The 14,691-nt window shown below is 42.9% G+C and overlaps 1 protein-coding gene across 10 annotated transcripts in view, besides 1 other annotated feature; it reads left to right on the top strand.

Moving 5' to 3' along the window:
- Nucleotides 7,167-7,516: a silencer, noted in NCBI's record as "silent region_19038". NCBI's record gives its function as "represses an Ori minimal core promoter by ATAC-STARR-seq in GM12878 lymphoblastoid cells {active_cell/tissue: GM12878}" and the evidence as "EXISTENCE:reporter gene assay evidence [ECO:0000049][PMID:35858748]".
- Nucleotides 7,365-14,691, top strand: part of PPP2R2A (protein phosphatase 2 regulatory subunit Balpha) — an 81,173-nt gene continuing 73,846 nt past the window's right edge. For 4 of the 10 annotated variants that reach the window (XM_024447187.2, XM_047421935.1, XM_047421933.1 and 1 more), the window contains exon 1: nt 9,536-9,597. Coding sequence is in view for 6 of the 10 variants with exons in the window: in NM_001177591.2 (NP_001171062.1) it covers nt 9,104-9,140; nt 9,523-9,597 (112 nt within the window). In the remaining 4 variants the exon portion in view is untranslated. Of the gene's footprint in view, nt 7,684-9,072; nt 9,141-9,522; nt 9,718-14,691 lie in introns of those variants that run through there. The other 6 variants (NM_001177591.2, XM_011544565.2, XM_047421936.1 and 3 more) reach the window with 3 other exon arrangements.

A 14,691-nucleotide genomic window follows, 5' to 3' on the forward strand; every position in this document is an offset into this window, starting at 1 on the left:
ACTATATGTAGAGGGTACGCCCAAGATGAGATGCAGAGATTAAAGATGGGCAGATGAAGAAGCTTGGAAGAAGCTCATTGATTATTGTAGAGAAGAGAAAACTTGTGAGATGTAGTTATGTTCCAAGATCTAAATGACCTTCATTGAAGAGGGCTCAGATGGGACAGCCAGGGTCTGCTGTTTAAAGTTGCAATGAACATTCATACCATGATATTCAAGGTATTCATTTCTGTACAATGTACAGTGTAAGGCCGAATTACTTCGTGATCATAGCTCTCTAAAAACAGAATGCGTCTTAGTTCTCAGCTACTTGCAAATTTTAAGCCAAGGCTGAATGAGCACTGAAGGACATGTTACATAAGGAATTTAAGTATCCATTATGAGAACTGGGTTAGTTAATGCCTGAACTTCCTCCCAACCTTAAGCTTGTGTGTTTCTGTCATACATGCATAAAACACACACTTGTGTCATGGCTAATAACCTCAAATGCCACCTAAAAAATCTGCAGCATGGGCCTGGTGTGGTGGCTCATGCCTGTAATTCCAGCACTTTGGGATCCAGGTGGATTGCATAAGCTCAGGAGTTTGAGTCCAGTCTGGGCAACATGGCAAAACCCAACATTTATGAAAAATACAAAAATTAGCTGGGCGTGGTAGTGCACACCTTTGGTCCCAGCTACTTGGGAGGCTTAGCAGAAGGATCTCTTGAGCTTCCTTGGAAGCTCAAGGCTGCAGTGAGCCATGGAAGGTCAAGGCTGCAGTGAGCCATGATTGTGTCACTGCACTCCAGCCTGGGGGACACAGTGAGATCCTGTCTCAACAACAACAAAAAATCTGCAGCATGGACATACACTCATTCTTCAAACAAATAGGCTGTAATGTAATAGTTTACATTACAGGACATTTATGATCGTTCAATATGCAACACTGAAAATACATTTTAGAGATAATGTTTAATTTCACAAAGTTTGCATTTTATACCAGATATTCAGGTTATATCCTTACAGGATGTACCTGCCACAAAAGTATAATACAACATTTTCGGTTGCAATTTACAAACAGAAGGTAATTGCATGAACTTACTAATGTTTCCTTCGTTAAATGACACTGTCGCAATGTACATTGCAATGTAATCATGAAGTAATTCTGCCTTACATTATACATTGCACGGAAATGAATACCTTGAATGTCATGGTATGAATGTTCATTGCAACACTGAACACTGTTAAAAGACAAAGACAAAATGTTTCTCTATTTTATGCTAAAACCATGGATTAAGTCACATCTGTGCATACAGTTATAACGGACTACAACTTTCACTTTAAGGTAGAAAATAGGTAGCATAGATGTTATCAAGCTCTAATACCAGCATTAGAATGAATTTTCATAATTAAGTTTATTCTTTCCCTTTAATATATGTTAATTATAGAATATTTAGAGAAACGCAAGTGTCAAAGGAGAAAAAATTACCCATCGTGTCACTGTCCAGAGACATTACTGAGAACACCTTGGTGCATTTCCTTCCTGTCTCTTTCAGCTGTGCATATATTGTGTTTGTTTGTTGTACATACTTGCGTTCATATTGTATCTATATTTTTTATCCTGCTTCTAAGGCACAAGCAATGTGCCTTACAAACATTTGACTACTACATAGTAATCCACCTGGTAGATTCACTATCATTTTTGGGTTTATCCTTCTAGTGTAAGATATCTTAGTTATTTTATAGTCAGTTCTATACCTTGAATATCATGGTATGAATTGTCTTTATTGTGTAGACTCTGCAGAGTTTTGGGAAACTGACTTATAGGCCAAATGTGTAGCTATTAAAAAAGTAGGCTGAGAACGGTGGCTCATGCCTGTAGTTCCAGCACTTTGGGAGGCTGAGGCTGGTGGATCACTTGAGGCCAGAAGTTCGAGACCAGCCTGGCCAACATGGTGAAATCCATCTCTACTAAAAACACAAAAATTAGCCAGGTGTGGTGGCACATGCCTGTAATCCCCGCTACTCAGGAGGCTGAGGCAGGAGAATCGCTTGAACCCCAGAGATGGAGGTTACAGTGAGCCAAGATTGCGCCGCTGCACTGGGCAACAGAGTGAAACTCCATCTCGAAAAAAAAAAGTATATAAAAAACTGACAAGTCCTTATAACTTTCCCTGTAAAGCCCTTGCAATTGCTTCAGGTCAGAAGGCATAGCTATGGTGGGTTTGTCAAAATTCTAAACTGTAACCATTTTTAATCAGGGACCTCTCCCCTTACTCTTGAATTCATGGACTTTCCTGGATACCCCTTGGTCTAACCACCTAGAGGAGAAAAGCAGCTGAAAAGTGCCACTTCTCATTTAGTGTGTGGGGGTGGGGTGGGGGCGTGGGTTGTGTTCCTCTCAACTCCAAACATGCTTCATCGAGGAAAAGAGTAACTTTCAAATGTTTCTTCTTTGGTCATTCAGTATACTTTAAAAAGCCATCTTGCAGTAACCCATGGCTAAATCCTGTTGGCTCCATCCTGCTGGTGAGATTGTGAGTGTCTTTAGTACCTTTCAGCTCAGACCCAAAGCAGAACACTTCCAAGACAAACAGGCTGTCTACAACCTCACCAGGAAACTCCAGAGGGAGTTGTCTCCCTGTTTGTGCCTAAGCTGAACTCAGTTCTGCAGGAAACTATGAGTTTGTGTATCTTATATGTGGCCAGGTGTTGAAGTTCTGGCTAAAGGCTCACATTAAAGAAAACTTGGATGATAGCATCTGGATGAGGGAATGGTGTCCTACGGGATCCTCTTGGATAATATGTATTCAGGAGACAAAGGACCAGGTGGAAGTAGCTGGGATGAATCTATCTATAAGCAACTTACATATTTAAACAACTGTTGCCTGACAAATGTAGATCAGAATGACTGAGATCATTGTAAAACGTCTTTCTTCCACAGTTAAGGGTGAGTGACAACATTTATGATATGGCAAGCATTGAGGAGTCAACATTTCAGTGGTTTTCTTTAAGCCAGAGAGATTTATTCATTCATGCATTAATCCCACAAATTATGTGGCTGATGATATGGCAATGAATGGCATACTTCCTACCCTCAAAGAACTCAGTGTAGTAACAGACAAATATTTAGATAATTTGAGTGTGGTCTAGAAAGACAGAAGTGAACTGGATTTTACAAGAATATTGAGTAAGGGTGCCCAGCCCAGCTTAAGGTGGGTAGGAAATGGGGAACAATGTCAGAGAAGCCTTCCTGGAGGAAGTTAACATTGGAATTGTTTTTTAAAGAACAGTAGTTTTACTGGCTGAGGAGGAAGAAGGACGGCTGCTGGGAGTGTTGGGGTGGGGGTGGCGGGGTGCGTGGGAGTGTTGGGCTGGGGGTGGCGGGGTGTGTGGGAGTGCTGGGGTGGGGGTGGCGGGGTGTGTGGGAGTGTTGGGGGTGGGGTTGGCAGGGTGTGTGGGAGTGCTGGGGTGGGGGTGGCGGGGTGAGTGGATGGTAGTGCTCAGGAAAGGGACAGCATCAACCATGGTATGGAGGGGATGTGGAATCAAGACTTGTGCCTGGCAGCACTATGTTTGAAATGCTAAATGGGCATCTAGAAATGTCACATAGGCATGCAGAGGTGTGTGTCTACAGTTCCAGGGTGAGGGCATAGCTGGAGATCTAAATTTAGCAGTCCCTGGTATATACATGGTATTACATGATATTTACTTAAGACTAAATGAGGTTGCTCGAAGAATGTGTAGTTACACAAGGGACCCCAGTACGGAGGCTGGGGAGACAGATCACCGTAATATTTATTTATTTATTTAGAGACAAGATCTTGTTCTGCCACCCAGGCTGGAGTGCAGTGGTGTGATGATGGCTCACTGCAGCCTCGACCTCCTGGGCTCAGGTAACCCAGGTAGCTGGGACTACAGTCACGTGCCACCACACCTGACTAATTTTTTTGTATTTTTTTGTAGAGACAAGGTCTCCTTTTGTTGCCCTGGCTAGTCTCAAAATCCTGGGCTCAAGTGATCCTCCCAACTCAGATTCCCAAAGTGTTGGGATTACAGGTGTGAGCTACTACTCCTGGCCACCACTCTAATATTTAGAGGGTAGTCTAGGAGAAGGAGCCAGCAAAAGAAACTACAAGGAATGGCTAGACAGGTGGATAGGTTAGGGGGGGTGACAAATAAAGTGTCAAGGGGAAAAAAAGAGTCTCAAAAAAGAGGGATTGATGGATGGTTTCAAATGCTGCTGGGAAATACAGAAAAATTAAAACAGAGAAGTGACCACTGTAGCAACATACAGATCATTAATGACCTTGACAGAGGCTATTTAAGTGCAGTGGTAAGGGCAGAGGACAGAGTGGAAGGTAGAGCCACGTGTGGAAGCACATGCCTATAGTCCCAGCTACTAGGGAGACAGAGGCAGGAGGATCACTTGAGCCCAGGAGTTTGAGGCTGCAGTGAGATATGATCATGCCACTGCACTCCAGCCTGGGTGACAGAGCTAGACTCTGTCTTTAAAAGAAAAAAAAGTTTTGTTTTTTTTTGTTTTTGAGAGGGAGTTTTGCTTTTTGTCGCCCAGGCTGGAGTGCAATGGCTTGATATCGGCTCACCACAATCTCCGCCTCCCTGGTTCAAGCGATTCTCCTGCCTCAGCCTCCCGAGTAGCTGGGATTACAGGCACGCACCACCACACAAGGCTATTTTTCTTGTATTTTTAGTAGAGATGGAGTTTCTCCATGTTGGTCAGGCTGGTCTTGAACTCCCAACCTCAGCTGATCCACCTGCCTTGGCCTCCCAAAGTATTGGGATTACAGGCGTGAGCCACCGTGCCTGGCAAAAATGTTTTTTTAAGTGGAAGATAGATATGGAAGTGAGATGGACAAGAGCAACCCTTGACTCTGGGCTAGCGGGTGTTCTGGCCTCTCCTCCTAATGGCCATTCTGATGAAAGGGAGGTGGCTTATGGTCCTCTGAAAGGGCTGACCAGGGCCCAAAAAGAGCCAGGTCGTTTACACCAGGGTGCCAGGGTGCACTGGCCCTTGATTATCAGACCCAAGTCAGCCCATTCCACAGGCATGCAGTACCCCCAAGGCTCCAAATAATGTTCTTAAAACAGCACCTGGCACAAAGTCGGTGCTATATACATTTTTGTTATAATTATCCCAGTTTCTAGGCAAGCTTTATTGGCTTCTAAGAACAAATCATTTATGTAAACCAAATCATTTTCAGGGTATGTAAAGTCTATATTCTCTTTTTCTGTCTTCCTTTCTCTCTCTCTCCTTCCTTCTGGGTTCTGGTTAAGATGGAGAGCTCTCCCTGGAGAGTCTGGGATTGAACCACCAAAGAAGGGCAGAGCAAGCAAAAAGGAAAATAAATGAAGGCATACCCAGAGAAATACATTTATGAAAAACACCAGCATTGAAGAAAATACAGCACGCAGTGCACTGAAGTTTTGTACCTGTTGTACAGGTAGCCAAAAGATGACACATAGAGGGTGGATTTTTAGTTTTGATTAATTCATTGGTAACGTGGGAAATATTCATGCAGAAACAGAGGAATGATCATGCAGTGGTGCAGTTGTTCCTTTGAAGGAATTTTGAACGTTGCATTACAGTTCAACTGTCCTGGAAATCAAAAATATGGTAGAAAGTGGAGATGGTGGGGAGGACGTGTAAATATCTTTAACTCCCCCTTCTTGGTTTCCAAACGCCTTTATCACTCCATTCAGCCTTAGGCCAAATTCTGGATGCTTTTACAGGTGTTTTTCACGTGTAAAATGTGCATATCTATCTCCTAGGAGTATCGTGGAGATGGAATGGGATATGTAAAGTGTGCTGTATATAGCAACTGCATCATTAGAGCATCTTTCAACAGAAGTGCACATCCCCTCATAGCTGATGACTGGCATTTCCTGTTCATTTTTTTCCTTCTACCTCTTAACCTTACTGACGATGCTTTCAATACAAATCTAATAATAACGGCAGCTAACATTTATCATGTGCTCAAATTAAGTCATTTCATCTCCCCAACAATCCTATCAGGTAGGACTGTCATCTTCATCTCCTGAGCCTTGGAATCATATTAGGCAGCCTGGCTTCAGAGCCCAGCACTTTTTGTGTTTTTGTTTTTGTTTTGACAGGATCGCATTCTGTCTCCCAGGCTGGAGTGCAGTGATGTGATCACATAGCTCACTGCAGCCTTGACCTACTGGGCTCAAGCAGTCCTCCTACTGCAGCCTTCTAGTAGCTGGGACTATAGGCACGCCATCATACCTGGCTAATTTAAAAAAAAAAATTTTTTTTGGAGAGATGGGTCTCCCTATGTTCTCCAGGCCGAACTCGGAACTCCTGGCCTCAAGCGATCCTCCCACCTCGGCTTCCCAAAGTGCTGGGACTACAGGCGTGAGCCACCGCGCCCGGCCCTGAGCCCAGCTCTTAAGCACGCAGTCCAACACGTTTAGCTGGAGAGACGCCGGGTCACTTCTTGGGCCATACCCTCTCATCACAAACTCAGGTTTCTCTTAGAAATCACTCTTAGTGTCCGCAGTGCCTAGGACTCCCGCCTTGGATCCTGGGGCCCACGAGAAGGTAATTTAATTCACCCAGATAGAACCAGCCCAATCGTGTCCCTCTGAACCCCGTGAACTTTCACCCCGGCTGAGCAGTAAGTCTGCACCGCTGTCCCTTTCTTTGTGGTCTCAGGGCTAATCCAAAGTGACAATTTCCTAAGAAGCAGTACGGGGTTTTTTGTTTGTTTGTTTTTTGTTTTTGAGACGGAGTCTTGCTCTGTCACCCAGGCTGGAGTGCAGTGGTGCGATCTCGGCTCACTGCAACCTCTGCCTCCCGGGTTCAAGCAATTCTCACACCTCAGCCTCCCAAGTAGCTAGGATTACAGGCGCACACCACCACGCCTGGCTAATTTTTGTATATTTTTAAGTAGAGACGGGGTTTCACCATGTTGGCCAGGCTGGTCTCGAACTCCTGACCTTGTGATCCGCCCGCCTCAGCCTCCCAAAGTGCTGGGATTACAGGCATGAGCCACCGTGCCCGGCCCAGGTATTCCTAGAAGACATAGGACCCCATGAATCCTTGCAGGAGAGCACGTAAACTGGACTCCTAAGCCCGCCCCAGAGCCCCGGCGCTAGTGCTCGAGGCTGGGACACTGCTAGGTGCACACAGCCGCGGCCTGGCGCAGGCGGTGCGGACAGAGGGTATGCCATGGCGAGACGCTGGCGCGGCGCAGGCCCTGCCGGCCGGGACACGGAGGGCGGGGCACAGGCGCAGCAGGAAGGGGGCGTGGCCAAGAGCCGCCCGGCCGCTCCCCCGCCCCTCCCCCTCCGCTCTCCGCCCCAGCCCGGCGGCTCCGCCCCCTAGGTGACGTCACTGGCCAGGCCAGCCGGCGCCATTTTGAAAGTGGAGTCGCCTGCCCCTGCCGCTGCCGCCGCCGCCGTCGCTGTCGTAGTCGCCGCCGCCGCTGCCGGAGAAAGAGCACGAGCGGGGAAGCCCCAGAGTGAAATCTAGCATCCTGCCGGCTGGTCTGCCCGCCCCTCCTTCCTTTTCCCCCCGGCCCCCGTCCCCTCCCCCCGCAGGTGCCATCCGCCGCCATCCGCCCTCTCTACCCCCCCATCCCCAGGTGAGGGGGGTGAGTTCAGGAAGCGGAGACCCCGAGGAACCCAGCAGGGTCACCATTTGCAGCGCAACATGGCAGGTAAAGGAGAAATCCCCCTCGCCCCCTGACAAGGCACCGCTTCCTTATTCCTCCCTCCATCACCCCCTAGCGACCGCCCGCGCCTCGCGCAGAGCCACAGGGCGCCCCTCGGGTTTGAGGGAGTAGGGTCCAGAGGGGTGGGGTGGGGGCGGGGAGGGCTCCCGGGAGGCAAGTGGTCACGGTGAGAGTCACTGGGCTTGGAGAACGGGGCTGGCGCCGTGGCGGGGGTGGGGGTGGGGTGTGCCGGCGAGCTTGGGGTGAGGCGTGGGTGGGGCGGGGTGGGGGTGCGTGCAGATTTGTCCCTCCCGCTCGGGAGCCTGGTGGATCTTCTCCCACCTCCCCACCTTGCCCCCCGCCTTTATTTTTTTTTCCTGCAGGTCTTCATTTAATTTCTATTTTTCCCCCTGCTGCAAGCCTTCTTGGGTGTATATACACATTTATTTTGCCTCGAGAAGGAAGAGCGCCTTATAAGTTAAAATACAGTGGGGGCATATGTGTATTTTTTCCCCACTGTAGATGCCAATATTTTTGAGACTGGAAGCCTAAATTTTTTGTTTCGAACCATTTCGTTTCCGTTTCTTCCCTTTTACCGCCGAAGAGTGCAAGGCCTTTCATGTACAGCAAGTTGCATGAAAATAATTTAAACTTTGCGTTTAGCATGTTAGCTTTTTTGCAGATGTCCTTTTCCCAAAAGGGTTTGGTAGAGTTAGTTAAAATAGTTGCGGAGTTCAGAGATATAAATAGCAAGGAGGAGAGAGATTTAGGTAGAAGCTTTGAAGGGGAGGGGAAAGGATGTAGAGAGAAAACCAGTTTGGAAATAAATTTAGCAAGGAATAGGGGTGATGGGGGAGAGAGAAGTAATGTAATTGCTTTGAGAATTCTTTTTGTACATGTTGGTATTGCTAAATCTTTTCCTTCATGTAGTAGAATCAGTTGCAGATTTAGATTCAGTTTCTTTCTCCCTAGAGCCCCAGGACATTTTCAATCATTTCGACCTCAGTACTTGCACGTGAAATAGAAACATTCCGAGATGAGACCAGTTTTCCGTGCTGTATTCATTATTTAGATAATTAAACCTTTTGAAAAAGTTAACATGTCGGATTGACTTACGGTTTGCTATAAACAAGTTGCTTGTTGGCCTTGTTGAAAAATGAAATGAGATTAAAATTGTTTTGCACGAGATGACATTAGCAAAATGAATTCTTTGCCAGGTCCTTTGGAGTCAAGGGATGAGGTGAAGGGAGGCAGAACAAGCTTCCTTTGACAGTCTCTTTAGCAGCATTCATTTCGGTTTCTTTTCCTCTCTGTCTGGAGCCAGTGATTTGCTGGTAATGAATGCAAAGAAATGGGTGTAGTGTTTGCTGTGTGTGCACTTTGGTGATAAGGTTCATATGAATCATTACTCCTTACCCAGGCAGTAATGTTCCCGAAGTTTTCTCTTCGTTCTATGTTTCATGGTAGTTTAACCTTATTAACTCTTCTGCAGGCTTTTTGTACACTTAAGAAAACTCTTTAACTCTTGGTATTTACTTTTTTTCTGGTAGGTCTTGCCTGAATGTAAGGCTTTTACTGTATTTGACAGGAAGTTTGTGAACAGATGTTTAATGACCACAGAACATGTGCCTTTAAATATTTCGTACCTGGAATCTTTTTTTTCTTTCTAATGCAGTACCAAGTATTGGGGACTAACCTCTTTCCAAACTGGTGCTCTTGGTGGTAGTTGTATGTGTGGGCAGAACTAGGCTGTTAGTATCATGCCAACCATGGATACCATCTTTGTGTTTACGAGAGTCAACATAAGCAGAACTCGGTTTTAATTGGTATGTTTTCTTTTTCCAGGAGCTGGAGGAGGGAATGATATTCAGTGGTGTTTTTCTCAGGTGAAAGGAGCAGTAGATGATGATGTAGCAGAAGGTAAGAAAGCGTTTAATGCAAAATTTGGATATATAATTTTTGCAGAAATGTTTCCTACTGGAGGATTTCCTTGAAGCCGAGACTGCTATAAATTCAAGATGATTTTGTTGTCCAAGAAATGTAAGAACAGTTTTAAAAGATACCTTTCTGAAAAACAGCCTTAAATTTCATTTGTTATTTACGCCTTGTTTTTATTATTTTTTCCTCTGAATTTACATGGAAGGAGCGGTAGATGATGAGACATATAAGATCCTCACATGAAAGCTCTGAGCTCCATATAAGGGTTTCTTTGTTATGTAAATTCCACATACAAATAAATGGTGATGCATTTTTATGTTTGTACATTGGTTTTAGATAAGTAAATTGAAATAGGTGCCATCAACATTTGGCTCAGAAACATTCTTAACGGCATCTTTGATTTTTATGGGAAGATTTTTTAACTACTTTTGAATTTGTCCACTTTGGGAGTGTGATGCTGCTTGGCATATTCTGTGAAGAGATGATAGCTCAGATTATTCATTTTGTTGTCTTTCTGGTATTTAGGTGGATAAGACAGTAACAATGCTATGCATATATCGCTTGTCTTTTAGGAATCGTATATTCTTGTGCAGGTAGAAACTGTGTTTGATCAGTTGAAGTACTTACGTCTAATTTTCTCCCCAAATTTATTTTCTAACGTGTTTCAGAAGTTTAAGTTTTGAAACTTCAAGGTTTTGCATTCATTTGAGATGGTCTTAGGCAGCGGAGGCATTTTCCACAAAGTTGTTGCATTGTTTCATTCCTGAGAAATGTTGAAGTTTGAGTTTTAATGGTATTGTGTGTCTTGAATTACAGTAGGAATTTTCCAAACAAAACTCAGATAAATTTAAACATGTACTTGTGAGTTTTAAAAATTTGGTGAAAATTCATAAACCTTTTTTCCCTAGATTGTGTTGTCCTCATATTTCTGACCTGTCTGTAGGGTACTGTTTGTTCTGGAGATTTTTTTTCAGGTGGTGGGTGGTAGCCGAACTCTCTTATTTGCTTGTGTCAGTGTCATCCTTAATTGTCTGTTTTAGAGTGTGGTGAATCCTATGGCAAGCCAACTGGTGTAGATTATACTTGTCATATTTTGCAGAGCTCTCTCACGTTCCTTTTCTATTGGATCCTCATCTGTTTCTTAGATGAGAAACCAGAAACAAAAGAGACTGACTGATGGTCATGCACATAGTGTAAATCAAGGTTTTCTGATGAAGTCAGTGGTGTTTGACTTGTTCAGAGAAGTAAGTCCTGACTTCAAGGGAGGAGTTGTGTATTACTCATGTTGTAACTACATTACCTGTTGAATAGTAAACACTCCAGTATTGGATCATTAGTTCTGTGCAGTTGTGTAATACTCACCAAGTTATGAAAGTGCTGTATACTTGGAAAATGTTCTTTGGTTGAATTCCATTTATTCCCTTAGGAAAGTTCCCCTAAATGCTGAGCACTGAGGGTACTTGGTGTCTGGAACATAAACTCTGCCCACAAGGAGCTCATAGTTTGCTTGTTAAACATTACGCAGAAAGATCACATGGCTTTTATTTAATCAGAAGAAATTGATAGTTCAAAGTGAACATCATTTACCTACCTGAACCAAATAACTTGTGATATACATTAAGTCCTCCCTTAATGTATAGGTTCTGTCAATAATGTAATGTCAATAGGTTCTGTGACTTTAAGCAAAGAAAGCAACTTATAACAAAACCATTTTTTATCCATACCATAACAAAAGATGCTGAGCAGAAAACAAAGTCAAAGTTTTCAAGAACCTATTGACGTGAAGTTAGGAGATAAATCAGTTATAGTTCCCCTTTGCTGATACTTAGTAGCTGCATTTTTCTACTGATTGGTTAAATAATTTTCTTTAGAGGTTGTTAAATATTTTAACGTAAGCATATTCTTAGCATCGTAAAATGCTGATACTTGGTATATACATTTTAGTAAGATAACATATCTTAGTAAAAATATGACTAGTTCTAATAGGTATTGCTGTACAAATGTATTAAGTATAAAAATAATCCAGTTTTCAAATGACACTGCTTTAATTTGGATATTTCTGCATACTAGAGTTTGCATATTATAGTCTTGCTTATTTGACTAAGGGGAGATTTGCTTTTCTGAAGTAAAATAAGGTTATTAACACATTCCCCACCCCCCTACCTTTAGACTGATCTCTTCAACAGGTTACATGTAGCTCAACTTTTACTTGCCTGTTTTCTGTTAATGATACATTTTGATTGTCTCCATATTGCCTGCCTTTCTCCCGTCTACATGCAGTCAGCTGCCAGGGCATACCATTTTTACTCTGTAATGCCTTAATCTTCTTTGCATACCTGCTTTCACCTCTATTCAGGTTTGCACTCTCCCTCATCCAGATTGCAGTAAGTTCCTAAATTATTCCCTGCTTCTTCGTCCTGTTTTGCTTCAAAGTTAATCTTAAATGCAGTCCCAGTTTTGTCATTTTCCTCATAAGTCTACAAGTGGATCACTGTATCCACTGGATTAGGAATTAAGTTCAAACATCTCAGTCTAGAATGTATGACCTTTGCCCAATATGGCCTCTGCTCTCAGTTTATTTGCTGCTATGGCTAATGACCCAGCTAAACAGATACTGTTCTTAAAAGGCGTTCTATGCTCTCTCACTTTAGGGTCTTTGTTTTTGCTGCTTCCACCTTGGAATGCCTGACAATCATCCCACAGTTCTCTTACCAGGATCCTGCTCATCTCTCAAGTCACGCCTTTAACCTTTTTGCTAATTTCCTCTTTTGGAAATAACCTATTTTTAAAGTCTTCCTTTATAGCACTTTGTTACGTAGATATCATATGGTACCCCACATCTCTACTGTTACATACTACAGAGTTTAGTGTAGGACTGATTTATCTTCGTACCTTATGCAGGCATGAAGCTGCTCTGTCTAGAACAGTGCCTGGCACACAGTAGTTGAATATTTGTTTGAATGAAGGAACGTAAATGTTATTGTTCTTAGGTTTTGAAAGGGGAAGAGAAATGGTAAAAGGCAGGATGATTGAGATGTAGTTCTAGCAGTCATGGATTTATTTACTTGGTAGGCTTTTTAAAATAAAAATTTAAAACGCTTTCTGCAGAATCATCGGTAGGCTTTTTATAACCAGATTGATGTTATACAACCGTATAATGCAAAGAAATCAGGAGACCTTGGGTTTTTACCCTAGCTCCAGCACAAACTAGTGTATGTCACTGGGGATAAGTACTCTCCTGGGTTCCTGTGTGTTTAGCAATGGAATAACAAGAGTGGATTAGGTGATTTCTGCTCTTCCTTGTACTTTAATCTTGTTAATTTCCAAAGGCATGTAAAAACAGCCCAAATTCTTTTGGTGTGTGTGTGTGTGTGAGACAGAGTCTCACTCTGTTAGGCTGGAGTGCAGTGGCACGATCTCGACTCACTGCATCCTCAGCCTCCCGGGTTCAAGTGATTCTCCTGCCTCAGCCTCTTGAGAAGCTGGGACTACAGGTGCACCCCGCCATGTCCGGCTCATTTTTGTATTTTTATTAGAGATGGTTTTGCCATGTTGGCCAGGCTTGTTTTGAACTCCTGACCTCAAGTGATCCACCTGCCTCGGCCTCCCAAAGTGCTGAGATTACAGGTGTGAGCCACCGGCCACAAAATTATTACTACTGGTAATTAATACTACTGGTAAGCTAGATTGTTTGAGATACCGTACTCTCTAGAGGCCTTAAATAAAAAATAAATTATTGCTAGTAATATATTTTACATTTTTAATTTTTCTTTTATTGAAAACTGTCTGTCATGAGACAGTAGGTTAAGAGCACAGACTCAGGTGCTAGGCTACATGGTTTGAATCTTGCTCAGTCATTTATCATTTCTGTGGTCATCTCTTTGTGCCTAGCTCCCCTCTATAAAATGAGGATAACAATAAAACCTGTCTTACAGTGTTGTTTTGATGATTAAATGAGTTTATACACATAAAACAGAACAGTACCCAGCAGAAAAGAGCCTTATGAGGATTTAGATATTATTACTTGAACCTTCATATTATTGTTACTTTGAAGGAAGAGTCTTTGGAGTATGAGTATATTGAGGATTTGTCTTTAAAGCCTACTAAAAATTTCTCAAAGTGAAGGAAATAGCATATATGTGTGTTATACATACTCTTTGATTCCACTAGTAAATTACAAAATACATTCAAAATTAAGCTATAGGTTTAGAGGCACATATGCAGCTGGTAAAACTATGAAGAAAAGCTATGAAGTAAAAGGAAAAAAACATACTGTAAAAAGTACTATAAAAGTCAGTATAGTGGCTACCCTTAAGCTGTTGGAAAGGAGTTGTGATCGGGAAGGGCTGGGGAGGCCCTTGTGGGCTATCTTGACTGGGATGGTGGTTGTACAGATGTTTGTAAAGAGTAACCTGGACATTTTTGTTTCAATTTTTGGTTTTCTTTATCTGTTACATTTTACAGTAAGAAGTTTTTGGAAATCTAATAATGTATTAAAGGGTTTAGGATGAAAAATGGCAGTCCCCTACCTCCCCACTCCTTAATCCCTAGTCCATCTCCTAAGAGCAGTTGTTCAACTCTTCCGCTGGGTTCCTTGGTGCTTCATTTCCTTTTTGGGAATAAAATGGTATTTCTATATCTTGTCAATTTTAGTATTTCCAGCTGACTTGCTCCTCTAGTAGATGATAACTAAGCTATTCACATTATCACCCCCATTTCTGTCCCCATTGTGCCCCGATGTTACATCACACACTATGATTAAATTGGACGTCAGTGCTTAAATTGTTATGACCACGCACACATTCTCTGCTGAACCAGTAGTGCTCTGCAGTGTTTATTTCATCCTCAAGGTAATACAGTAATTGCTTGTTTGTTAATTTGACTATTTGGTTTTTTAAAAAACGTAATCAATCTGGAACATTACAGAAAGTATGTGGAATAGTATAATGAACCCCTGTCACCCGGCGTTGTCAATGGCCAGTGTTGCCCCATGTATGGTTCCATCACTGGACCCTTTCCCATCCTTTTGTTATTTAATAATGTAATACTTGTTTTTAAAATCTGAATTTAACAAAA

Source organism: Homo sapiens, chromosome 8, assembly GCF_000001405.40.
Source record: "Homo sapiens chromosome 8, GRCh38.p14 Primary Assembly".
NCBI lineage: Eukaryota > Metazoa > Chordata > Mammalia > Primates > Hominidae > Homo > Homo sapiens.